The 24,513-nt window shown below is 43.5% G+C and overlaps 1 protein-coding gene and 1 long non-coding RNA gene across 40 annotated transcripts in view, besides 2 other annotated features; one reads left to right on the top strand and one right to left on the bottom strand.

Moving 5' to 3' along the window:
- Window positions 1-1,181, bottom strand: part of SIPA1L1 (signal induced proliferation associated 1 like 1) — a 420,734-nt gene extending 419,553 nt beyond the window's left edge. For 21 of the 30 annotated variants that reach the window (XM_047431243.1, XM_047431251.1, XM_047431209.1 and 18 more), the window contains exons 1-2: window positions 1,154-1,181; window positions 476-535 (exon numbers count right to left, since the gene is read on the bottom strand). The gene's annotated coding sequence lies outside the window, so the exon portion shown is untranslated. Of the gene's footprint in view, window positions 1-125 lie in introns of all 30 variants that reach the window. The other 9 variants (XM_047431223.1, XM_047431248.1, XM_047431241.1 and 6 more) reach the window with 3 other exon arrangements.
- SIPA1L1-AS1 (SIPA1L1 antisense RNA 1) overlaps window positions 1-24,513 on the top strand; it is a 29,125-nt gene that overhangs the window by 192 nt on the left and 4,420 nt on the right. For 4 of the 10 annotated variants that reach the window (NR_184175.1, NR_184177.1, NR_184178.1 and 1 more), the window contains exon 2: window positions 10,978-11,099. The exons of 4 other annotated variants lie outside the window; for them this stretch is intronic. This is a non-coding gene — a long non-coding RNA (SIPA1L1 antisense RNA 1). Of the gene's footprint in view, window positions 1-10,977; window positions 11,100-14,293; window positions 14,488-24,513 lie in introns of those variants that run through there. 2 more of the 10 variants (NR_184181.1, NR_184182.1) reach the window with 1 other exon arrangement.
- Window positions 263-1,282: a silencer, noted in NCBI's record as "silent region_5897". NCBI's record gives its function as "represses an Ori minimal core promoter by ATAC-STARR-seq in GM12878 lymphoblastoid cells {active_cell/tissue: GM12878}" and the evidence as "EXISTENCE:reporter gene assay evidence [ECO:0000049][PMID:35858748]".
- Window positions 1,543-1,702: an enhancer, noted in NCBI's record as "active region_8672". NCBI's record gives its function as "activates an Ori minimal core promoter by ATAC-STARR-seq in GM12878 lymphoblastoid cells {active_cell/tissue: GM12878}" and the evidence as "EXISTENCE:reporter gene assay evidence [ECO:0000049][PMID:35858748]".

Genomic DNA, 24,513 nt, shown 5'->3' with positions numbered 1-24,513 from the left:
TTTCATGTCCCCAAGACCCCCAAAGGGGAAATTAACCACCCTCGGGCACCGAGCTGTTCGTCTCCATTTCCCACAACTCAACCAACTCGGCCTGCCTACTCCAGCTCAGGCTGCAAAGCGCTCACCCAGGTGACTGGAGGGGAAGGGTCGCCAGGTGGCGACCAGCTCAGCGGGGTGGACGCAACCGCCCGGACCGGGACGCGGGTCTCCTGGCCTCCCGCAGAGACGCCTGCCCAGTAGTTGTGCAGATTCGGGTTCTGGGGTGCGTGCGCGCGCGCCGGGCGCGGTGAAGCCGGACTCGCCCCCGCCGGGCTAAGCTACCAGCAAGCCACCAAATCGAAAATCAAACTTTAACCGGCCTCCTGGGGTCCTGCTCCGGGCCCTGGACCCCAACCCCGGCCAGAAACAGGGCAGGGGGCTGTCAGCCGTCCTGCACCCCCGCTCCCCCCAGGACCCGGGCGCGGGGACCACTTACCGCTCGGCCCGGCCTCCCGGTGCCGCCGCGCGTCCCGGGCGCGTCCGCCGCGCGCTCTCCCTGGGGAGAAAGAGAAACCGTGTAGACGGCCGGCGCGCGCTCACTCGCCGCCTCCTCTGCGGAGAGCGGCGAGGCCGGCCCGAGGCGGGCGCCGAGCGCGGAGCGGAGGGGGGCCCGAGGGAGGCGGGGGTGGAATCAGCCCAATTCCCGAGGCTGGCTCCGAGGGGGACCCGGAATACAGGCTGGCGGGGGGCCGGCGGGGGCCGAGCTCCCGGAGGAGGGGAAGGCGGAGGTGGCCCCGTCCTTGGGCATCAACTATTGTCTAGGCGCCCGGGCCCCCGCTCGCGCCGTCCCCGAGGCTCAGCGCCCCCATCCCGCCCGCCAGCAGAAAGAACTGAGGGGGCGGCCAGTACGGGAAGCAAGTGCGGGGGTCCGGGCTCCGAAGGTCCAAGGTGGGCGCGAGGTTGCCGGGGGGGGGATGAGGAGGTGCGTACCGCATGGGGGAGGGGACAGGTAAGTGCGGACGGGGGCGGGAAGGCCCCAACGACCGGTGGGGGAGGAAATGGGGAGGGAGCCACAGAGGCGGGAGGGAATGGAGTGGCTGCGGGGGCGGCCTCTGGGGCCCAGACCTGGCCCTCCCCGGGGACCCTCCAGCCGGGGACTCGGCGCTGCACTGACTTTTCGCTCACTCGCTCACGCACGCACTGAACTCGCTCACAAAGTTGCCGGCAGTGGCGGCGCCTCACTCGCCCTTCCCCTCCCCGCCCCGCCTCCCGCCCCATTCCTTCCCCTCCTTCACTCCTCCCTCTCCCCCAAGTCTCGGGTGAGATCACCACGGAGCGGCTTAGCGCGGCGCACAAGTCTCGCGAGAGAAGCGGCGGCTGGGCCCTGCAGGCGGAGGAAGTGGAAAAAGTCGCGGGAGGGTAGGGGACCGCGGAACTTCTGGTTGCTATGACGACGGCAAAGCCCTGGATTCCTGTCTCCTGCGGAGAGCAGAGGCTGCAAACGTGGGTGCAGTTTTCAACCTGCCCGGCGCACTGGCGGTGGGGAAAGCTAGGGGTGGTTGCGGAAGGATAATTTTTAAGCCGATTCAAGAGGGCATCTCGAGAGGACCACAGTCATGATATCTGGCCAAATTTGGCAAATGAGACTAATGTATTAAGAGGTTCTGGGACAGGTTTCTGCCTTTCTAGGCAGCACATATCTGCACCCCAAATTTCTACTATATATTCAGTTTTTCGGCCTTCTCTTTCAATCTAATTCCTCCATCCCCACACTCCCCATGCTGCCTCCCTCCTCCTCTTCTCAACTCGCAAACACACGCAGACTGGGCTCCTTCAGGAACTGGCTCATTCATCTCTGTATTCTCAGCGCCTCTATAGGCTTGGTCCATACTACATATTGGCCACTTTTTTGACAAGTTGAACGCAACAGTCCATGCCTGTCCTCAGTACTTGCCTTTGGCCCTAACCTAGAGAGTTCAGTCAAGTTTGGACTCTATCAAGCTACCCTCCCATTTCTGTTAACACCTTGTCTTTTTCAATGGTAATAATCTCTGCTTTCTCCATATTTTTCTCGTAAAAACCCTATTCACCATGGTGAGGGGAACTTTTTTTTTAATCATTAGGCATCCGCAGACGCCTTTATACGTACTCCAAAATGCTAGTAAGGATGAAGATGAACTCTCCTCAGCCCGTGTCTTTTAACTGTAGAAACTTTTCTGAGGTGAGGGTTATTATATACTCACTGCCTAAGTAAAATGGATATTATGAATAGAAGTTAAACTTTAGATTTCAAAATGAATGAGTAAAAATAGATACCATTGTATGTGGATTATATCTCAATTTTTAAAATTCCTATCCATGAACATGGGGAAACCATTATTTAACTCAGTCCCACAGAACTAGAAACCTAAAGCATAACCTAAGCATATGAGGACTAGGCAGTCAAAACTTGTAAGTCACTTGCAAGTTTAAATCCTGTCAATGAAAGTTTGTGTATTAGAAACCTAAGTGATACTAGACAAAGTCAGCAAACTAGGGTTTACGTTTTTCTGTGCCACTAATAATTGAGTCTCCTTGAGAAGTTATTTAATCTCTCTGATTCTTCATCTGTGGGGGGTACCCCACATGTTAGGTTATTACAGCTTTAAAATTCTATAGCTGGCCGGCATGGTGGCTCACATGCATAATCCCAGCACTTTGGGAGGCCCAGGTGGGAAGACTGCTTGAAGCCAGGAGTTTGAGACTATCCTGGGCAACATAGAGAGACCCTGTATCTACAAAAATAAAAAATATTAGCTAGGTATACTGACATGCACCTGTAGTCCCAGCTATTCAGGAGGCCGAGGCTTGAGAATCACTTGAGCCCAGGAGTTAAAGGCTGCAGTGACCTCTGATCACACCACTGCACTCCAGCCTGAGCAACACAGTGAGATCCTGCATCTAAATATATATACACATATGTATGTGTGAGTATATATATATATATATATATATATATAATTTAATATAAGAGCTCTTAGACCTATAAAATTTTCCAATAAATAACAAATCTTCCTTTTACAGCAAATGATAAAAAAAGTTTCATCTTATAGTAGGTCAGTTTCACAAAGAGTAGCTATATGTTGACAATTTTCTTTAAATGTTGACAATTTTATTTTAAAATTTATCTTGTCCCAACTACAAAAACAACAAAAATATTGACCATGTTACAGTAATTTCAAAGGTAATCTATAGTTCATGATTTGCTTTTACACTAACTCAAAGCAGATTCCTTGTTATTTAATAAATACTCTAATTAAAACCAAAGACCCAAACTAAATACATCCATACTCCCAAAATAACTATAAGGAAAGAGGGAGGGAGGGAGGAAGGAAAGGAAGGAAGGAAGGAAGGAAGGAAGGAAGGAAGGAAGGAAGGAAGGAGCGAAGACTAGATCTGTGGAAGGAAGGAAGGGAGGGAGGGAGGAGGGGAAGGACGGAGGGCCTCAGATTCATTTACTGGTGTGTTTAATATCACATTTTCACAAAGAAACACAATGGAACATCACCATCAGTCCTGTGAATCTGTTTTAAGGAACCATTTTTCATAACATTGCAAAATATTATAAATCAGTTGTTGCTCATTTGTTCTGGCTTAGCTTTTAACATAATTTTGCCCTTAAAAGATGGCTGCCAATCTACATCCACCAACGCAGTACAATTTCAGGACCATCTGTTTTATGACTCCCAGATAGCCATTTGAAATAATTGACCCAAATGCTAGCCAAATCTATTAACATTCTTCAGTGCTTCATATAAGGCTCAAGAGATGGGTGTTGGCCTCAAATTACAAAAATAACCTCCCTAATCTTCAGACATAGTAAAATAGTAGAAATTGTCCCAGGGATCTAAAACTGCTTTTTCAAGGCCCTGGGCTACTATTTATCCCTCACTGATGGCAGAACTTTCATCCGTGTTTCTAAAGGAGATAAAAAGTGAAAGCTACCAAAGCCTAGTTTCCAACTGCACATTCTCTAGGTCAGTCACTCCTGCTGTATCTTCCTGACCTTCCTAGGTTTCAAAATAGCAGATGTCAGGCAGCAGAAGAGGGAAATGCGGAATGGAGAGTTTGCCAAGAGCACAGACTAGATCTCAGTCCACTTCCTGTCCACTGTCTTGGCTCCTCTACCCATCTCTGCTCAACCCCTTGCCTTTGCCCTCCAACACAAAGGATATGTAACCTTTCTAGTGATAAGAACATCTAGTCATTTGCTATGTTGTTCCCTCCCTATTTGCTTCTTATTTCGTTAAAACCCAGGTGAATTCATTTCCCTCTGGTTATTTACCTCTACTCAACAAAACACCCTAATGTATAGTGTATACCAAATATAGAATGAATTTTGACACAGAGGCCTACCATACAAATTTTATGTATTTTTTAATATTATAAACACTGACTCACATTTGCATGTTTTACATTTAAAATCTGATTTAACTGGCCTATTCAGAACTCCAGTAGCTGTACATCTGCAGGGCATTATTCTAAGTGATATTTAGAAAGATTACTCTAAATCATTACAAAGGTCCAAAGTGCCCTCAAAATTATTCAGGATTAAATGATATCCCATGTTGTTTTAATTTTAGGGTGTTATTATTTTAGCCTTATTGATGTAACTCTGTTTACATGAATACTGGATTCCTTAGCAAATGCCCCTTCTCTCATTTACATAGTAGTATTCATTACAAGTTTAAAACACCAACTACTTTATAACGTTGTTATAAATAATTATAACGTTCTGTTAATCAATTAACAGCAAAACTACTATACTTCCCTGTGCTCTTCCCTCCTCTTTAAAGGACTGTTTCACATCTTCTCCTCCTTAATCAAACCTCTGCCTAGTACTTCTAGCTAATGGCCTTGCTCCCTCTTTTGTTGGTAAAATAGAAATAATCAGAAGAGAACTGAACACACATACCCTCTCTATCACTCTTGTCTACCAACCTGCCTGCATCTGTCTGCATATACTCCTCTGTCCTTCCTGTCATTTATGAACTCTTGGTGCTCTTAGCCAAGATTAGCCTCGGTCTGTGCATTAGTGCCATCACCTCTAACTCAGGGACATTGATTCAGCAACTGTCCCCACTCTCTCTTGAATCAGCAAATTTTCCTTCTCTACTGCTTCACTTCTAAGGGCTTACAAGCATACTGGAATATCTGCCGTGGTAAAAACTAAAATGCTTCCTAAATTTTATGTCTCCCCCTGCTTCACTTTATAACTGGAATCTTCAAAAGGCTCTTCCATGCTTGGTGTCTTCAATTCCTATCCTTCCCTTCCCATGAATCCACTCTGAGCAGCCTTTCACCCCCACTACTCCACAGCAACAGGTCTTCTCAGGGGCATCAGTGACTGCCTTATTGCTAAATCTGGTGCTCAACTTCCAAGCTCACCTGGCTGGAGCCCTCAGCAGCAGGGAAGAGGTCAACCATGCTGGTTCTTGAAATGTTTTCTTCCCTTGGCTTCTGAGCCAAGAGTCTATCCTAGTTCTTATCCTACCTTTCTGGTCTTTTTAGTCTTGAACCTCTCAACATAGGAGGCTCCAGGACTCAGACTTTGGACATCTCTTTATGGTCTCTTTTCACTCTGTGGTGAGCTCACCAGTCTGATAGTTTTAAATACCATCTATACATTAAATACTCCCAAACTTACACCTCCAGGCTAGTCATCTCCCCCATCTCCAGATTTGTACATCCATCTGCTACTCAACATCTGCAATTGATTATGTACTAGGTATTTCAAATTTCACATGTTTAAAACTGATGAGCTCCAAATATTCCCCCAAAAACCAGTGCCCTCCTGAACTCCAGATATCCCTCTCAAAACCGGTTCCCTCTGGGAGGCTGAGGTAGGTGGATCATGAGGTCAAGAGATCGAGTCCATCCTGGCCAACATGGTGAAACCCCATCTTTACTAAAAATACAAAAATTAGCTAGGCATGGTGGCGCGTGCCTGTAGTCGCAGCTACTCAGAAGGCTGAGGCAGGAAAATCACTTGAACCTGGGAGACAGAGGTTGCAGTGAGCCGAGATCACGCCACTGCACTCCAGCCTGGCGACACAGCAAGACTCTGTCAAAAAAAAAAAAAACAAACACTTCCCTCCAGCAGTCTTCCCCAACTCTGTTAAGGATATCTTCCCAGAGGTTCAGAGGTTTTGTTCAGAGCCAAAGTCTTGGAATCATCCTTGACTCCTCTATTTCTCTCTCATCCAAACCATCAACAAATTCTGATGGTCCTTTCTTCAAAATATGTGTAGAATCCAACCACTTCCACCCACTGCAGCTCCACCTCTCTGATTCAAGCCATTTCTCACCTGGATTATCACAATTGTCTCTCTACTGGTCTCCTAGTTGGTTTCCCTACTCCTGCATTTCCCCTCCAATAATTTGTTCTACACACAGGATCCAAAGTGTGGAGCATGAGTAAGTCTAATCTTGTCACTTCTCTGCTAACAAAGTTTCCAGGACCTCTCACCTCACTCGGAGAAAAAGCCCCAGTTCATATTCTGGCCCAGGAACTGTATATTCTTTGACTCCCAATCCCTCCCTCTCTCCCCTCCCTCTTTCTACCCCAGCCACACTGGCATTCCTGCTATTCATTGACTATACTTGGTGCTCTACTGCCTCCAGGCCTTGCATTTGCTCTTTCCTCTGCCTGGAGAGCTTTTTCCCCAAATATCTGCATGATGCACTTTCTGGGTCTGTTTAGATGTCTGTACAGAGGTAACTGTTGGTAATCTGCCTGCTTGCTCTTGGGTGCCCTCTCTTGTCCTGCTCTACCTTGCAGTAGGGCTGAACCCCATGGGCCATGTTTTCAAGGATGCCTTGTCAGGGGCTTCCAGCTGGGTTCAGCCATCAGGATGCATAACAGGAATTTGGACAGATGGAATAGACAAGTGAAAGCCATTCCGCTCCTCTCTCTGTCCGCTTCAGGCAGAGTTTTAGTAGCAAGTGCATCTCCTGCATGGCCCCAGGTTCCACTGGGTGAGAACCATCCCCAGGCTCTGATATAATTTCAGCTGGAGGGTGATAGTAGCTTCCTAGTGTTAAGAATCTGTGGGTTTCCAGCTGGACACGGTGGCCCACGCCTGTAATCCCAGCACTTTGGGAGGCCGAGGCGAGCAGATCACCTAAGGTCGGGAGTCGGACACCAGCTAGACCAACGTGGAGAAACCCAATCTCTACTAAAAATACAAAATTAGCCAGGCGTGGTGGTGCATGCCTGTGATCCCAGCTACTGGGGAGGCTAAGGCAGGAGAATCGCTTGAACCCAGGAGGCAGAGGTTGCGATGAGCTGAGATTGAGCCATTGCCCTCCAGCCTGGGCAACAAGAATAAATCTCAAAAAAAAAAAACAAAAAAAAGAAAACTCTGGGTTCCCTCATCACCCTGGTTAATTTATCAGTTCTTCCATCCACCATGTAGTTCCCCTGTATAAAAATTCTCTCATTTTGGCCAGGCACGATGGCTCATGCCAGTAATTCCAGCACTTCAGGAGGCTGAGGAGGGCGGATCACTTGAAGCCAGGAGTTTGAGACCAGCCTGGGCAACGTGGCCAAACTCCGTCTCTACTAAAAATACAAAAACATTAGCTGGAGGCTGAGGTGGGAGGATCGTTTGCGCCCAGGAGGTGGAGGCTGCAGTGAGCCAAGACTGCACCACTGCATTCCAGCCTGGGTGACAGAGACCCTGTCGCAAAAAAAAAATAAAAATAAAAATTCCCTCTTTTTGAATGATCAAGAACAGCTTCCATTCTCCTAACTACACCTTGATTGCTACAGTCACCCCTTACAAAATAGCAATCACCCCAATCTCATACTCCCCACACAGTTCTATTGCTCTCTGAAGTCTATCACTCCCTGACATATTATCTAATTGTTTGTTGGTTTATTGTCTGTCTTTCATCTAGAAGGTAAGATCCCTGAGGGCAGGAACTCTATGTCTGCTTTATTCACTGCTGTGTTCCTAGCACCTAGAACAGTGCCTGGCACATAGTAGGCACTCAACACATGTTTTTCATATAAGCCAATAGTGCTCATTCAGACAAAATAAAACTGCTAGCAGAGTGTGGTAAAGAGAACACCCTTACCCTCCAAGATGTCCACATCCTAATCACCAAAACCTGTGAATATGTTACCTTATGTGGCAAAAGAGATTTTATAAAGATATGATTAAGTTAAGGATCTTGAGATAGGGAGATTATCCTGGATTATCTAAGTGGACTCAATGTAACCACAAGGTTTTCATAAGAGGGAAGTAGGAGGGTCAGAGTTAGACATGGAGATGTGACCACAGAAACAGAGTCAGAGAGAGATCTGAAGATGCTACATTACTGGCTTTGACAGTGGAGGAAGAGACCATAAGCCAAGGCATGTAGACAACCTCTAGAAGCTGGAAAGGCAAGAGAAACAGATTATGAAATCCCCTATAGATTTCATAAGGAATGCAGCCCTGCCACTATGTTGATTTTATCCAAGTGAAACTCATTTCAGACTTCTGACCTCCAGAAATGTAAGGTAATAAAATGGTGGTGTTTTAAGCTACAAATTTCATGATAATTTGTTATAGCAGTAATAGGAGACTAATAGTGTTTAATCAGGTATGTAAGCTCTTTGTAGTCATAATGTGTGTCTTGTTTGCTCTTAAATCCCTATAATTTAATACAGTTCCTGACAAAAATAGGCACTCCATAAATGTGCAATGAAAGAATGAAGTTTAACAGCAAAGCAGAATCAGGGCTCCCATTCTGATGGAGTGGAAAATCCCTTACCTGGCTTTCTGGCTCAGAAAGCACCTTGATATTAGGAAGCCTTTGTGAGCCTTCTGAGCCGTGAAGTTATAGGGGTATAGGGTAGAGGCAATCCAGGTCTTATGCACCAATGTCAGCTAGAGAGAATGAGGACAAGTCACAAGGGCCTTGTGTGATATATTCAGGACTTGGGCTTTATTCTGTAGGCAATAGGGAGCCATTGAAGGATTTTCAGCAAGGGTGGAAACATTCAAATTTGCGTTTATGATGCACAGAATATTAGAAGCATGAGATTTAGAAATCCATGGGTTGGAGAAGAGATTAGAACTGCAAACATAAATTTGGCAAGCAGTAGCTTATAATTGCTAATGTGATGCATTTAGATAATTTTTTTTTTTTTTTTGAGAAGGAGTTTCACTCTTGTTGCCCAGGCTGGATTGCAGTAGTACAAACTCAGCTCACTGCAACCTCCGCCTCCTGGATTCAAGTGATTCTTCTGCGTCAGCCTCCAAAGTAGCTTGGATTACAGACGCCTGTCACCATGCCTGGCTAATTTTTTTGTTTGTTTGTTTGTTTGTTTGTTTTTGCATTTTTAGTAGAGATGGGGTTTCTCCATGTTGGTCAGGCTGGTCTCGAACTCCTGACCTCAAGTGATCTGCCCGCCTCAGCCTCCCAAAGTGCTAGGATTACAGGCGTGAGCCACCGCGCCTGCCTAGATAACATTTTAATTAAAATGCACCCTCACAAACTTTCTTTCCTTGTCATAGGCATTTTCTTCTGAAACATTTTCCATTGAGCTACTCATGCCTTTCCTGGGTTTTCAGGCAATTTTCTTATAAACATGGATAAAATAAAATGAAATAAAAATCCCAAAAAGGATGAAAAGTTCTGGCCCACCAATACTTTTGACCTTTTCCTCTATACTATAGACATCAACACAAGCTATTACAGTTATAATATTTATATATATATATATATTTTTTTTTTTTTTTGAGACAGAGTTTGCTCTATCACCCAGGCTGGAGTGCAGTGGCTCAATCTCAGCTCCCGGGTTCAAGCAATTCTCCTTCCTCAGCCTCCCAAGTAACTGGGATTACAGGTGCATACCACCATGCCTGGCTAATTTTTGTATTTTTAATAGAGACAGGTCTCACCATGTTTGCCAGGCTGGTCTCGAACTCCTGACCTCAGGTGATCCACTCACCTCGGCCTCCCAAAGTGCTGGGATTACAGGCATGAGCCACTGCAACCACCTCAGTTACATATATATATATATTTTTTAATTGTATCTGAACCATTTCAAGATTTTTTATTCATCCTACTATTAATATTTCCTTTTAGGGAGCCCTTTGAACCATTTAAAATAACTTCAATATTCTCTTAGGAGCCGGAAGTTCCCTTCCAAACAGCCCTTTCCCCTTTATTCCTTTCATCAGATTTCACAGTAGAGAAGGTGTCAAGGAAGGAAGGTGAATTTTAAAAGTCCTCTCTCTACTCTCTTGTCTTTTTAAAATCCCTAGAAATGAAAAGAGGCTTGCTCATGACTTGGAAGCGGTGGGCTGAGGCCTCCCAAGACCATCTGGCTTGTTCCATTGCCAGCCAGAGTGGAGGCGACATTCACACGAACCCAGGAGCTGCAGGGGCGCGTGAGCTACAGCTGCCTTGTGGCATCCAAGGAGTGCGCAGTGAGATTCCGCAGGAGAAATCACGCTTTGCATGTTCTTGAGTACAAGAAACATGTGTAATGAGGGTTTTTGTTTGCGGGCATGCCAAGGAGAACGACTGGAATATTAAAGTCATCACAGCCTTTATTTAAGGGAGAAGAGGACAAGCATGAATATGCTGATAGTTCAGAGATATTTAGGACCTTCAGCAGCTCAGCACTCATCCTAGATTTATACAAATACCTTTCCAGAGATGAAGTTTTTAAAAGCCTTTTAAAGGAATTTTATTTGTTCTTTTCACGTGGGGAAAAGTGATGAGTATATCTATGCAAGTATGAGAAATGGCCAAGGCCACTCCATGTAATTTTTTACTTATCCTATAGCTACACAAAGAAAATAGCACCAAGTGTTGTAGAGGAAAATCTACTAGACTTCAAGCCCGGCTTGAATTCAATTCTGTGCTCTAATTCAGACTCTATCTTTACTTAGCTGAGTCATATAAATTATTTAATTTTCTAGACTTCTCACTTCTCTTTCTTTCTTTTTTTTTTAGACTAGTCTCACTCTGTTGCCCAGGCTGGAGTGCAGTGGCGCGATCTCAGCTTACTTCAGCCTCCGCCTCCCGGTTTCAAGTGAATTCTCCAGCCTCAACTTCACAAGTAGCTGGGATTACAGGTGCGCACCACCCACCTGGCTAATTGGACTTCTCTTTCTTTAAATACAAAAGGAGAAGGCTAAGAGGCCATCCCTCCAGACTAAAAGTTTGTGTGTTGATGTGTTATCCTCTTTCAAGAGTCATTTTGCTTCTGGTCAGGAATCTTTGAGGGGTCTGTTTGCTCTTGGTCAAGAATCTGAGGTCTAGACTTTTGCTCAGAGTTGCTGAACCTCTCTCCCTTCCCGTTTGTTTTACTCTTCTTAGGATGATCTCTACCTTCTTCTCCCCTCTTCTGTCCCTAACACACCCCGTTCTACAACCCCATCTGAAATATCAAGGGTGACCATAACTCACTCGTAGGATGGAGAGGGATAAAGACTTCTGAGCAATTTTCACAGACACCTCCTGTTATCTGGTACTGGCTGTGACTGGCGCTGCTAGAGTGGATCTTGATCATTGCTTCTGGCATGGCCAGCCCATACCTGCTGTTCTTGTTGGCAGTGGAATTTTCAGGACTGCTGCTCCTAGCTGCTTCCTCTTAGAACCTCTTAGAACAGCCAGCTTCTAGGTCTCTGAGCTTCTGGGCAGTTCTTTTACTCATTCCATACTTCCTATAGAGGGCAGCACAAATCACAGTCTCTGCCAAGCACATGGAGTTGGGATCAATACCAGGACTCAGGATTGGCTTGTAGAATTTTTTCAAATTACCCTAGCTTGGCATGAGAGTATAGGAGCAAGAATGAATAGGCTAGGCATGGTGGCTCACACCTGTAATCCCAGCACTTCGGGAGGCTGAGGCAGGTGGGTATCTTGAGGCCAGGAGTTCGAGACCAGCCTAGGTAACATGGTGAAACCCCGTCTCCACTAAAAATACAAAAATTAGCCAAGGGTGGTGGCACACACCTGTAATCCCAGCAACTCAGGACACTGAGACAAGAGAATTGTTTGAACACAGGGGTTGGAGGTTGCAATGACCAAGATTGTTCCACTGCACTCCAGCCTGGGTGACAGAGTGAGATTCTGTCTCAAAATATATATAAAATAAGAATGAATAGAGCCCTCAGCATCACACCCATTGGCCTTCACTTGAGGACAGTTCAGCATGGTGCAGTCAGATGGAGCTGGCCTCAAGTCCCACGCCCACCTCCAGCTTAGTAACAGAGTGGTTTTAGGAAAAGTTACTTAACTCCTCTAAGCCTTCGTTTCTTATTTTTCAAGTGGGAATAATAATGATTGCTTCGTAAAAACACATGATTATTTTGAGGATTACGTGAGATCATACGTGTTTCCTTAGATCCTGTGGACTGGCTATCTAGAGGCTATCCACAACTCCCTTTTCCCTTGCCCTTTGAGTCTTCCCTGAAGTCTCCAGAACTAGCTTAACATAAAATGGGGGCTTTATTCTGAAAACTGTGAGTTCCAAAAGATACCCAGTGGTAGAAATACGTCCCATCTAAACCCCCTCCATCACTCATGTGCTCCTCTCTCTGCATCTGCCTCTACGTACAGCATTCTTCTCTCTTTCTAAAGAATAGTTTCCTCCATTTTTCTGGTCCACATAGGGAAAATATCTCCTGGGCTCAATCTGAATTCAAACATCTCCCCAGTTTTCAAAATACCTGGGGAGAAAAGGAACTGACTGACACAGCTTTAAATCAGGTGCCCACCTCTAGACCAATCAGCTGTGACCAGGAGCCTGGAGGCACATTGCATAAAATGTCATGGAGGAATCATGACAAGACTGAGGGGGTGGCAGTTCCCAGGGAAGAGGGCGGGCAGACAATAATAAATGTCTAGGGTGGAGGAATTATATAAGAAGCATTAAGACTAGGTTTCAGCCCTTAAGATTATAATATAGTTGGGGAAAAGGCACAAACATTGTCTTCAGTTTAAATTTATTTTGATGCTGAGGGGGTTAATGTAGGGAAAAACCAAAACAATCAATAGTGATAGAAAAAAATCTTGTATCTCTTGAGATCCAATCAGTGAAGCTCAACAGTGCAGTGGTGGGGGTGGAGTGAGAACTTTTCCCATTTTCTCTGGAAGACATCTGCTCCTCAGGACTTTCTGCTCTTATGGAGCTCTAAGACCCACTCCTTCTATTGTATTGAAATACAGGAAGCAAAAGCATTTATTTAGAAATAAAAAAGTGGCTAGAAGACAGGTCTTCTCAGAGAAGGAAACCATTTAAAGCAGGATCTTTCTGCCCTGGGCAGGAATTAATGAAATTAATGGAATGAAGGGGGATTTACTATACCCCTGAAAGAGGTTACAAAGTAGGATAAGACAGGATTAAGGAGCATAATTACTGTTCATGAAAAAGAGATCAAGAAGTTGGGGACAGCCCCAGGAAGCCAGTGGATCTTAGCCCATGGGGTGAAGAAAGTAGAGAAGGGAGGAGTGTTCCTGGAGGGAGAAAAAGCAAAGGAACTGAAAATGGGGTGAACATGGCGTATTTGTGGACAGTCACATTGTGCAAGAGAGTGCAGCAGTCCTTAAACTATGAGATTTTCAATGAAAGCACCCGGGGTACCTATTAAAATATAGATTCCTCACCCCTGGTGCAGAGGTTCTGATTTCGTTGATCTGGGGTGGGTCCAAGGATTGAACCTTAATAAGCCCTCTAGGGGCAGGGGGTCTGCAGAGTACAGCTTGAGAAACACTGGTATCTCCATTGGCACTACCTGTTAATTAGACAAAAGAAATGGCTTCTCTTTTGGGGTATGTGTTTGCTGGGTAAAACAACTAACTACCAGACTATGAAGTCCCCCCTGATGGCCCAAGAGAGCTGCCATCAGCCATTGCCACCAAGGCCACCAATTTGCCAGTGCCTCTTCCAGGGACTCCTTTGTACTCTCAGCCCCCAGAGGTGCCACTTGATTACCAGCTGATTTGGCCTTCATCTCACATCTGTGTGTTTTTACAGGATTACACCCAGCCCAAGATGCAACAGAATCAGTCTAGATGGTGAATTCTTCTCAGACAGTGTTGCTGTTCATGTCTTGCTGATTCATTTACTTGTCTTTCATATCTAATTATAGTTAATTTTTATATAAACTTAATAATCAGCATTTGTGTAATAGTAAAAGAGTGATTTGTTTACTTTAATCTAAAAAAAGAGGTTATGTGTTTGAAGAGGAAAATGTTTCTATTCCAAACTTCTCAAGAACTGGTACTATTTACTAATTGCATATTCTTTCTTTTTCCTTCTAAGCCACTTTTTATCTTCTCTCCTGCAATCCAACCCACATAATTTCCATGAAGAAAGCGGAGTGGTGTCATTTTACAACAAGAAAACTGAGTTAAGAATAAGTCCAATCAATTGCTAGGTGTTGAGACTGAAATGGAAGTCTCTTAGTACTCCACCCAAGGATTTTCATATTAAACAATTATCTTGTCATCATTTTATTTCTGAGTTATTCTCTTCAGTTTTTGTTCTCTTCAATTTTCAGAAAAATTGAAAATGCTAATAACATGTGTTCTGGTCCCTTGAATCAGAAATTTCAAGTACACGCAGAATGAATTTTCACTGACCCTCCTCCCCTGTGTGCTCAGATTTCTCTTATTCTTCATCCCATCTGTATTTCTGGGTTTTTTTGCAACAGTATTTCTCAGGACCTACCATTTGGGTGAGAAAGGAAATGTATCTGCCCTCTGTCTTTATGTTCATTTAATCTAGTGGTTCTCACTCCTTCATCACCATGAAGAGTCTTTTGGTCTTGTATCTAATTTCCATCTAATCTCATTCTATTAGAAATGTTAGTTCTATCGAGTGATTAACTCTTCCAATAATCAGCGGAAAGAATTATGAGGGTTCAGTCCTCCTGGGTCTAAAGTGCTAGATAGAATCCTATTTGAAATCTGTGTCCTGAGGTTGGTCAGGTTCCCTGGTCTATGCTGCCCAAGAACTCACAAAATGAGAAACAGCGCTTACTGGCCGCCACTAGTTGTGGTGAATCAGCCCAACTGTCCTCAAGTGTGTACCACCCTGCTCTAGTCAGGTGAACAGTAGCTATGAATACACGAGTTGATCTCTGGGGTGCTGAATAGTATACATAGAGCCCCCCTCAGGATTTTGTTTTGATTATTTATGGTTATATAACGAAGTAATCTAAAACTTAAGTGGCTAAAAAAACAATAATTTTATTATATCACAGATTTTGTGGGTCAGGGAATTCTGGCAGGGCCCAGCCAGGTGATTGTTCTGTTCCAAGTGGTATTCTGCTAAGAGTCTGCAGGCTCCACTCATCCCTCTGCACCTTGACAGATGTATGGAAGGCTGAACTCTTCTGGGACTTGGGACTGTTAACTGACTTCTCCAGCAAAACAGTCTCAGGGTATTCAGACTTACATGGCAGGGCTTCCAGAGAAAGTGTTCTGAAGGACAGAAAGTAGAAGCTTCCAGTGCCCAGAAATTGCCACAACATCACTTCTGCCATATTCTGTTTATCCAATTACATCACCTGCTTATGTAGTAAAGAATATGTAGCCATCTTTAATCCATCACAGAGTTTATTCACTAAACATTTAATAGAAGATGTAGTAAGGACCAGGCTCAGTGTAAGACGCTGGGAATACAGAGGAAATTTAACACACTCCTATAGTGTAGAGGCAAAGCCAGTATGTTGTGTAGTTCCTATTCACAACCTTTCAGTAGTTCTCCAACACAACATGTCAGCAAAACCTAGAATAAATTTTAGAAAGAGAGAATTTAAATGAAAAAGAAAATTCACTGTCTAATAGTCTCCAGTTGCTCGTAATTCAAATGTCTGTTTATCTAAACAACACCTGGCATGCAAATAAATTGTGACGTCGCATTGAAGCTTGAAGTGTTAGAGGGCAAAATAAATGGCAAAGATAACGTCTTTGAGGAATAGCTCTTGTGCATGCGAAGAAGAAACTGTAGTCAGAGCTTAGTGATAGAGGGATAAATTCCAAATGGCTTCAGTTCTCATCTATAAGGCAAGTGATTAGGCCAGTTATCACCCCTGGCAAACTTGTCAATCACAAATCAGAGAAAGCTCACCCTTGTAGCAGAATGTTAGGATCATGAAGGAAGAGCACAGCATTCACGTATCATCTTCTTGGGAGAAAAGGAAAATTAATATTTCTAGTTCAGCAGGCTTCTAGCTGGGATGTTGCTTAGCCCTGAAGCAGAGGTGTTAGGTAGAAAGCCACTTAGCTTAATAGACTGATACGTCACAATTGTTTAAGGTTTCAGATTTTCAGCAAGTGTTCCAGAGAATATGGTCATGCTGTAATAGACTACTGTGTTCTTGAAGCAAAAATATCATAAAGAGATTTTGGCTATGGAGAAACTGGTTTCGGTTCTTTTTAGGCATGTTTTCTTAGGGGCATGGCCATCAAGATCACGGACCTACAAACTGTTCCCTGAATTTCATGTTCTCTTGGGTCTCTGGGCTTTGCTCATGTTGCTCTCTCTGCCTGGAAAACCTAGATCATACTGGAAAAGAGAAAGGAAAACTTGAGAGATGGTTGGGGCTAGAGAAATGGCTGCAGGAGCCCAGTAGTTGGAAGCCACATAGTTTTTCCCATCAGTGATGCAAATGACAACTGCTGTGGTTTAGAGAAGGGAAAGATAAGTGAGGACTCACATGGCAGGAAAAGGCCTCATGTAGCACGCACAAGCTTTAGCTAAACAGAGATGTCAAAGAAGAGGATTCCAGGCTGGCAAAACAGCACATGTAAGAAATGGATGTGGTTCTGGCCAGTGGTTCTGGAGCACCTACTCTATGGCAGGCACTTGCTGGTAACAAGCCCGGTAAGAGAGCGGGATGCATTCGGGAGACCTCAAGGAGACTGGCCTAGTGCCACAGTCCGTGGGTGTTTGAAGAATGTTAGGAGATACGGTTAGCAACATTGGGATGGGTAAGTTAGGAAAAGTCTTGAGTCCTCTACCGAAGTCTTTGAAGCCAGTATTCCTCATTCTAGAAATAGAAATGTCTGTTTATTTCAGAGAACTCCCTTTTTTTTTTTTGTTTTTGTTTTTGTTTTGTTTTTTTTAAGATGGAGTCTCATTCTGTTGTGTAGGCTGGAGTGCAATGGCGTGATCTCAGCTCACTGCAACCTCCGCTTCCTGGGTTCAAGCAATTCTCCTACTTCAGCCTCCCAAGTAGCTGGGACTACAGGCACACACCATCAAACCTGGCTAATTTTTGTATTTTTGGTAGAGACAGGGTTTCACCATGTTGGCCAAGCTGTTCTCGAACTCCTGACCTCAGGTGATCCACCTGCATCAGCCTCCCAAAGTGCTGGGATTATAGGCATGAGCCACTGTACCCAGCTTGTTTCAGAGAACTCTTGATAGATTTCCTTCCAAAAGCAGAATCCATATTTCACAGAAAAAACCCAGTACCTGTATGCTACATATGTCTCTGTTGTCATCATTGCTAAACATAATTTATATATAGGATCATATGCCTAGTAGTTCTTGATACCAGTCCCTGTACTCTTTTACTTTTCATTTTTATTTATTTATTTTTTTTTGCTATAGACATGGTCTCAACTGCACATTGTACAAGTGATCTTTAAAATATCATTAGATTTGTTTGGATGAGCAATTAAGAAATTAGGGCTACCCTATTTCACATGTTGTGTTTTCCTAAATCACATTATTAAAATATTCACTTTACTCCAGGAAGATGAGGCTAGAAGGAAGAATAAATGACATGTGTAAAGCAGTCTCCTAAAAATTGAAGAAAAATATAATAATCCCATATCCTGTCTCCATTTCTTCAAGTATCTCCACTCTACCTGTCACATAAGGCCCACCTTAAATCCAGCTTCCTGCATGGTATTATTCCTAGCCTTTCCATCCTCAGTGATTATTCCCCTCCCTGATTTCCTCATGCTTATACATCATTATTTAATTATCATTACTCTTTTTGAGACAGGGTCTTGCTTTGTTGCTCAGGCTGGAGTGCAGTGGCACAATCACAGCTCACTGCAACCTTTACCTCCTGGGCTCAAGTGACCCTCCCACCTCAACCTCCTGAGTAGCTGGGACTATAGGCATGTGCCACCATGATTTTTTTCTTTTTAGATATGGGATCTCACAGTGTTGTCCAGGCTGGTCTCAAACTCCTGGGCTCAAGCAATCCTCCCATCTCAGCCTCCCAAAGTGTTGGAATTACAGGTGTGAGCCACTGAAACCTGCCTCTCATTACTTCTTAGAAACTAACATAATAAGCATTTTGCAAACAAGAAGTAGGTCCTATACATCTTTTATATTACTCACAGTATAGCTAATAATAGCCAACATTTACTGGGTATTAAACCATGCCAAGTGCTTTACATGCACTATTTGAATTAATTCTCACAACTATCCTGTCAGTGCTATCATTACTCCCACTTTACAGATGAGAAAACTGAGACTTAATCAAGATTATATAGGCAGTAAGTAGTGAATGCAAGATTTAAACCCAGGTATTCAGACCCCAGAGTCCATGTACTTAGCTACTTCTCAAAATAATATAAATAGCATTTATTGATTATTATTTATTGATTATTTAGTGTGTTCCAGGCATTGAGTTAAATGCATTACATGGATTATTTCATTTATTTTATATATATATATGGTAAATACTATTATTGTCCCCATTTTAAGAATAAAGAAACTGGCCAGGTATGGTGGCTTACTCCTGTAATCCCACTTTGGGAAGCTGAGGCGGGAGGATCACTTGAGGTCAGGAGTTTGAGACCAGCCTGGCCAACATGGTGAAACCCCATCTCTACTAAAAATACAAAAATTCATTTGATGTGGTGGCACATGCCTGTAGTCCCAGCTTCTTGGGAGGCTAAGGTGGGAGAATCGCTTGAACCTGGGAAGCAAAGGTTGCAGTGAGTCGAGATCGCACCACTGCCCTCGAGCCTGGGTGACAGAGTGAAACTCCATCTCAAAAAAAAAAAAAAAAAAAAAAAAAGATAATGAAGAAATTGAGAGGTAGTGAGGTTTAATGGGTTTGTCAAGATCAGATAGCTAACAGGGGCTAGAACACCTAGAACACAGATTGGGACCAGCTACGACTCTGTCCCACTGAACTGCCACTTAGTATAGTGAGGATAAAGTATGTAATGAAGGCATTCCTAATGTAGGAATGCCTTCTCTATACCACATTCTCATTGCTAGAATTCTCTTACTTCAACCATTTCTTCCATAACAGTTTTCCAGTATCTTAACTGTCCTAGGCTTATCTCAAATAAGATTTATCTTAAAATATGGTCTTCTGAGCTAGAGCAAACAACTCGTGTGGAGTGTGATGAGACCCTACCCTAAGTTTGCTCTCTCAAATGAAATTACAAGGTCCTTAGGCCAGGATCTCTGCCACCCACATTTCCATGCCTTCAGCCCCTAGCACAGAGTGTCATGTCCATTCCCATCTTCTGCCACATGGTCTCTGAAGGTGATGGAGGTCAGGATTTCCATCTTCATAGGAAGTGGAGGTATTAGGAATGCTTTCCATTGTGAATAACAGTTTATCTATTGATGGCTTAAACAAATGGGCTTACAATTTTTATGTAGCAGCAGTCAGGACATACGTGGCTGCTGACATTAGTTTAGTGGTTCACTGATGGTAGAGCAGGCATCTCTGTGATTTACTTGGCCTTTTCTTGCTGGTTACAAGTTTGTAGGAAAGTCATAAAGAAAGGGTGAAGGGCTGTGCGAGTCCTGTTTCTTTTAACAGAAAAACAAAAGCTTTCCCCAAAGCATCTCCAGCCAAGTTCCCCTCTGTCTCCCTGGTTACAGCTGGGTCATGTGGCACCGCCTGCTGCAAGGGAGGCTAAGAAGTCAGGGAACAGGACTGCCATCAGTATAGTTTAGTCCTTTCATAACCCATTGCCTGTGGTAGGACACACTTTTGCCCAGAGCAAGGAAAAGTAAAGAAGTCCTGGATGCTGGAGGGTAGATAATGGTGTATGCCACAGTGGATCATGGAAGTAATCTGTAGCCGTTATACTCAATGTCTAATTTGCTTGAGGAGGAAATTAGTCTTTGGGCAGCAACATACACATCCCATTAAAGCCTTCCTCCGTAGCCTCAACCAGCTGGTATCCATTCCAGATTCCCAGTAGAACTGAAGTCCAGCCATGAATAGAAGCCATGAATTCACCTAGTTTCTGCCAGTCTTTTTCTCAATCATAATTTCCAGCAATCGGAATAGTTATCTCTGTTCTTGGACTCAGACTTGACCCCTAAGAACGAGTGCTGTTTGTTCCTCAGAAGCCCTGCATCGTGTCCCATTCTACCAGATCAGACTTCTTGGTTTTGGACTTTGGCCTGGATGGGATTGTGGTCCTGGCTGGCTTTCTTTTAAGTTATTTTTGCAACTGGGACCTCCCAGCATGCCTTGAAGCTCAAGCCACACCATTTATGACACATAATAGATTACTAAATAAATTCTTATTGAATTGGTTTGAATATTTAAATTCCCAGGATGTCAACTGCTGTTACTAACAGCAATGGCCATCTGTCAGAAATGCTATTAAGGAAGTAACCTCATTCAATGAAGATTTGTAGCAAGCTAATTCCAATGTATTAGGCAATATGGTCAAAGATAAATGAAGTTTCATTTTTTAAAAAGAAACTTTTGAAAGTTCCATACATCAAATAATGAACCACCGCAACAAACAGACAGTGATAAAATAGGACAAGTCTAAATATGGGTTGATCTCGTGCTCTGTGGCCCATTTACACTGAATATTGATGACTGAGGTTTCAGATAAAGTAAGTAGAAGGGGAAATTCATAAGGCTTATAGAATACCAGGAAAGCAAATATGGCAACAGCATGTATGACTCTTGGTATCTATATTCAGAAAAAAAGTCTCATCAGAGGAGTGTAAATACATTTCATAACCCTGATAATTTTATTTAACCCATCATATATCTCTATAGCTTAGAGCTAAGAAGAATGTTTAACCACAATAACCACATTCCCCGAGAGTCCTGGTATACGTGTATCTCTGTAATTCTGCCAACTTTTGATTTTCTATTTTTTTCTTTAATTGGCTTATTGCATATATGTACTACTGAAAGCCATCTCAAAGTCTTTTTTTCAAAAGATAGTTTTATTTGGTGAGAGGAACAGCCCAAGGGGGACAAAGTTCAATTTTTTGTGATCTAGTTTTTTATAAAAGGTAGCATATTCGAATAACTAGAAGCAGATAAATAGGTAGTTAGCATGTGTCTTTCACACTCCACAATTGGATGTTTAACAAGGTTTGACGACGGCAATTACATCGAGATTGAGCTGTCTGGAAAAAGCCTGCACTATAGACATTGTGCCTATGTTGCTAGTTGAGGAAATTTTCATATGCTGTAGTGACTGGGTGTGCATATGTTAGGGGTGTTATTTGGTTATAAAAGTTCAGAAATCCAACTTGCTTTCTTGTTGTCTTGAGGGGGTCTCCTAACCTATTTCGGTAGGGCCATAATTTTTCTCTAGGAGAAAGTCAAGTAGTTGAATGAATGCTTCATTGAGATCTCAGAGCACCACAGCCTGACCAGACATGCAAACTTTGATTGATTTGTAGGAACTTTTGGCACTGTGTTGAAAAGGGTTCTGAGATTTCATCCAGACTCAATGGGAAAGATGCTCTGCTTCATGAATGGGATCTCTCAGGAATGGAGCGAGGGTGTGCAGTGGGAAGCATGGATCCATATGCCATCAGTGCTATGGATCAGTGTCACCTCTGAGAGCTTATGAAACCACAGATTGCCATATTTTAATAAGTCTGGGGTGGGACCTAAGAATTTGCATTTCTAACCGGTTCCCAGGTGAGTCTGCTCTAGGAACCGCATTTTGAGAACCACTGCTATAGGTTACAGCAGAAATCATTTTAACCAGGACATTTTAAAAACAATTTTTAACAATTGTTTCCAATTGCTCTAGTCATAGAAAAGCCTTGATATATCACATGAGGATTTTCTGATTTTAATTAACAAACATCTCCACGGAGTCACTTGGAAGTGTTAGTGCCCTATAGAAATTGATGTTCTAGATGAGTTGTTCGATATTGATCATTTGAAGTTTAAGGAGATGTTAGCTAAAAACATCAATTTGGAGTTTAGTCTAACTAATATAGAATAGCACTCTCAGTGCCAATTAGATAACAAGAAAAGCTGCATTGCAAGCCCTCCCCTGGTGCATGGATCCTGTAATCAGTATACAAGAGGACGTCTGTCCTCCTATTTGCTGGGCCTTTGGGATGGCATCCTGCTCATCTAACAGGCATTAACATAGTTAATAACTTAGTGCATGACAAGCAGATGGAGTTTTACATATGTTATCACATTTACTATATCACCACATTTAATGTTCATATCAATTCATTCTCCAGGTAAGAAAACAGAGGCTCAAAAAGGTTACATAACTTCCTCAAGGTCATAGAACTTGTAACTGGCATAACTGAGACTTAAATCCAGGCAGTCCACCTCCAGGGCTTAAACTCCTAGGCCCTGCACAAGATTGTAACTGCAGGCCACGTTGAATTAAACAAGCATTGGTTAAAGAGCAGAGCCTTGTTTTCATAACACTTGAATCAGACATTGGATGTTCAAAGATGATTTCTCTCCACTTTGATTCTAGAAATGCTATTTTAATACCACCTTGGTTCACCTAGGGTTCAAGACCAGCCTGGCCAACATGGTGAAACAGGGTTGTCCTTACATGGCAAGGCCACCCCAATGACCTGTATGGGATCTGCTTCCAAAAAAGCTCCACACATGTCATGCATTGTCAGTCATATCTCCTTTTATTATTATTATTATTTTTTTGAGATGAAGTCTCGCTCTTGTCCCCCAGGCTGGAGTGCAATGGCGCGATCTCAGCTCACTGCAACCTCCGCCTCACAGGTTCAAGCGATTCTTCTGCCTCAGCCGCCCGAGTAGCTGGGATTACAGACACCTGCCACCATGCCCAGCTAATTTTTGTATTTTTAGTAGAGACGGGGTTTCACCATGTTGGCCAGGCTGGTCTCAAACTCCTGACCTCAGGTGATCCACCCACCTCGGCCTCCCAAAGTGCTGGGATTACAGGCGTTAGCCACCGCACCTGGCCTCATACCTCCTTTTAAATATGCCAAGGGACTTGGTCATTTAAAGGAATCTACTGGCAAATGTTCTTCTTGGAAAATGAAAGATTTTGTAATTAAAATAATCACCCCATGTTCTGTTTTTTACAAGTCTGATTATATTTTAGCACCAGATTTTTCTTGGCAGGTGGAAGGTGTCTGGTTTGAGTGGGAAGAGTATTGCCCAGAGGAGAGACTAAGAGCCAAAGCTAGAAGCCCATTTGCTATTTTATCCTTATCCTTCTTGTTCTTCAATCTAAGGAGCAAGATGGGACTTAGACCAGGAGTGGACATGATTGCACTGACCGAGGATTTCTCTGTCTGGGTAGTTGTCACTCCTATGCCAAAAGAGCGTTACCTTGCCCACCAAGACTCCCCACAGTGGTTTCCACCGCAGCCTGCTTGGCACACCGAACCAAATCAACAGCATCTGCAAGGCCAGCATCATTCATGTTTTGGTAAAGATCAAGGAAATGAGAGGAAAAGGGTAATCAGAAATTCTCATACCAGAAGCCAAAGAAATTCTTTGTAATTTTTCCATGTATTCATCTGAGGGGGAATTATCAAAAACTTCAATGTCACTTTCTTACAGAGGGTTCTCATCTTGGGAATCTTAATGGGATTCTTCTCACGCATTTGAGTTTGCCTGGATTTGTCTCTGTGTACTTAACTGATTCACAGAGCCATTTTGTGTTGTGAAAACTCTAGGGTCATGAATAGGGAAGGGGCAGTAAGACAATCCCAGACTAAAGCCTGGGGTCCTGGAATAATTGCTCTGTGGCATTGGCTTCTTTATGAATCTTCACTTATTGTTGTTTAAATTTATGTTTAAAAACCTGAAAAGCTCTGTCTAATACCTGAGCCATATATAGATCAATGCTTCTCAAACTTTTCCATTGAGGTGCCTCTAATGCAGCAGAAGGGTTGAACCACACTCTGCCCCTGGCCCTCCCACTCTCCTGATGTCTGTGGGTCATGGAAGGAAATCTGCGACATATCCTCCTCCAAGTCTTCTATTTTAGCTTAAAAATTCGCATAGATATTGCACCCCTGCTTTGGGCCTTGGAGGGTGAGTTACCCTAGCACAGGAAGATGGTCAGAGGTTGAGCTTCCACCATCTGAGCTGTCAGATTAACTCTGGATCATCTAACCCTAGCTTTGAGGTCACATGTGAGGCCAAATGTCTCAGGGTCATAGGTCTATTACATTTACTTACAGCAGTAAAAGTAACCGGACTGTTACCATCAGAATTATGAACTACAGATCCTTTCTCAAATATGAACAGATACACTGAAATCAGTGTAAGTTCTACTGATTATGGTAAGGGTAGAGGGAGAGCATGT

The sequence above is a fragment of the Homo sapiens genome, chromosome 14 (assembly GCF_000001405.40).
Source record: "Homo sapiens chromosome 14, GRCh38.p14 Primary Assembly".
NCBI lineage: Eukaryota > Metazoa > Chordata > Mammalia > Primates > Hominidae > Homo > Homo sapiens.
Note: the sequence above shows the minus strand (reverse complement) of the source record. Positions and strands in the feature narration are given on the sequence as shown.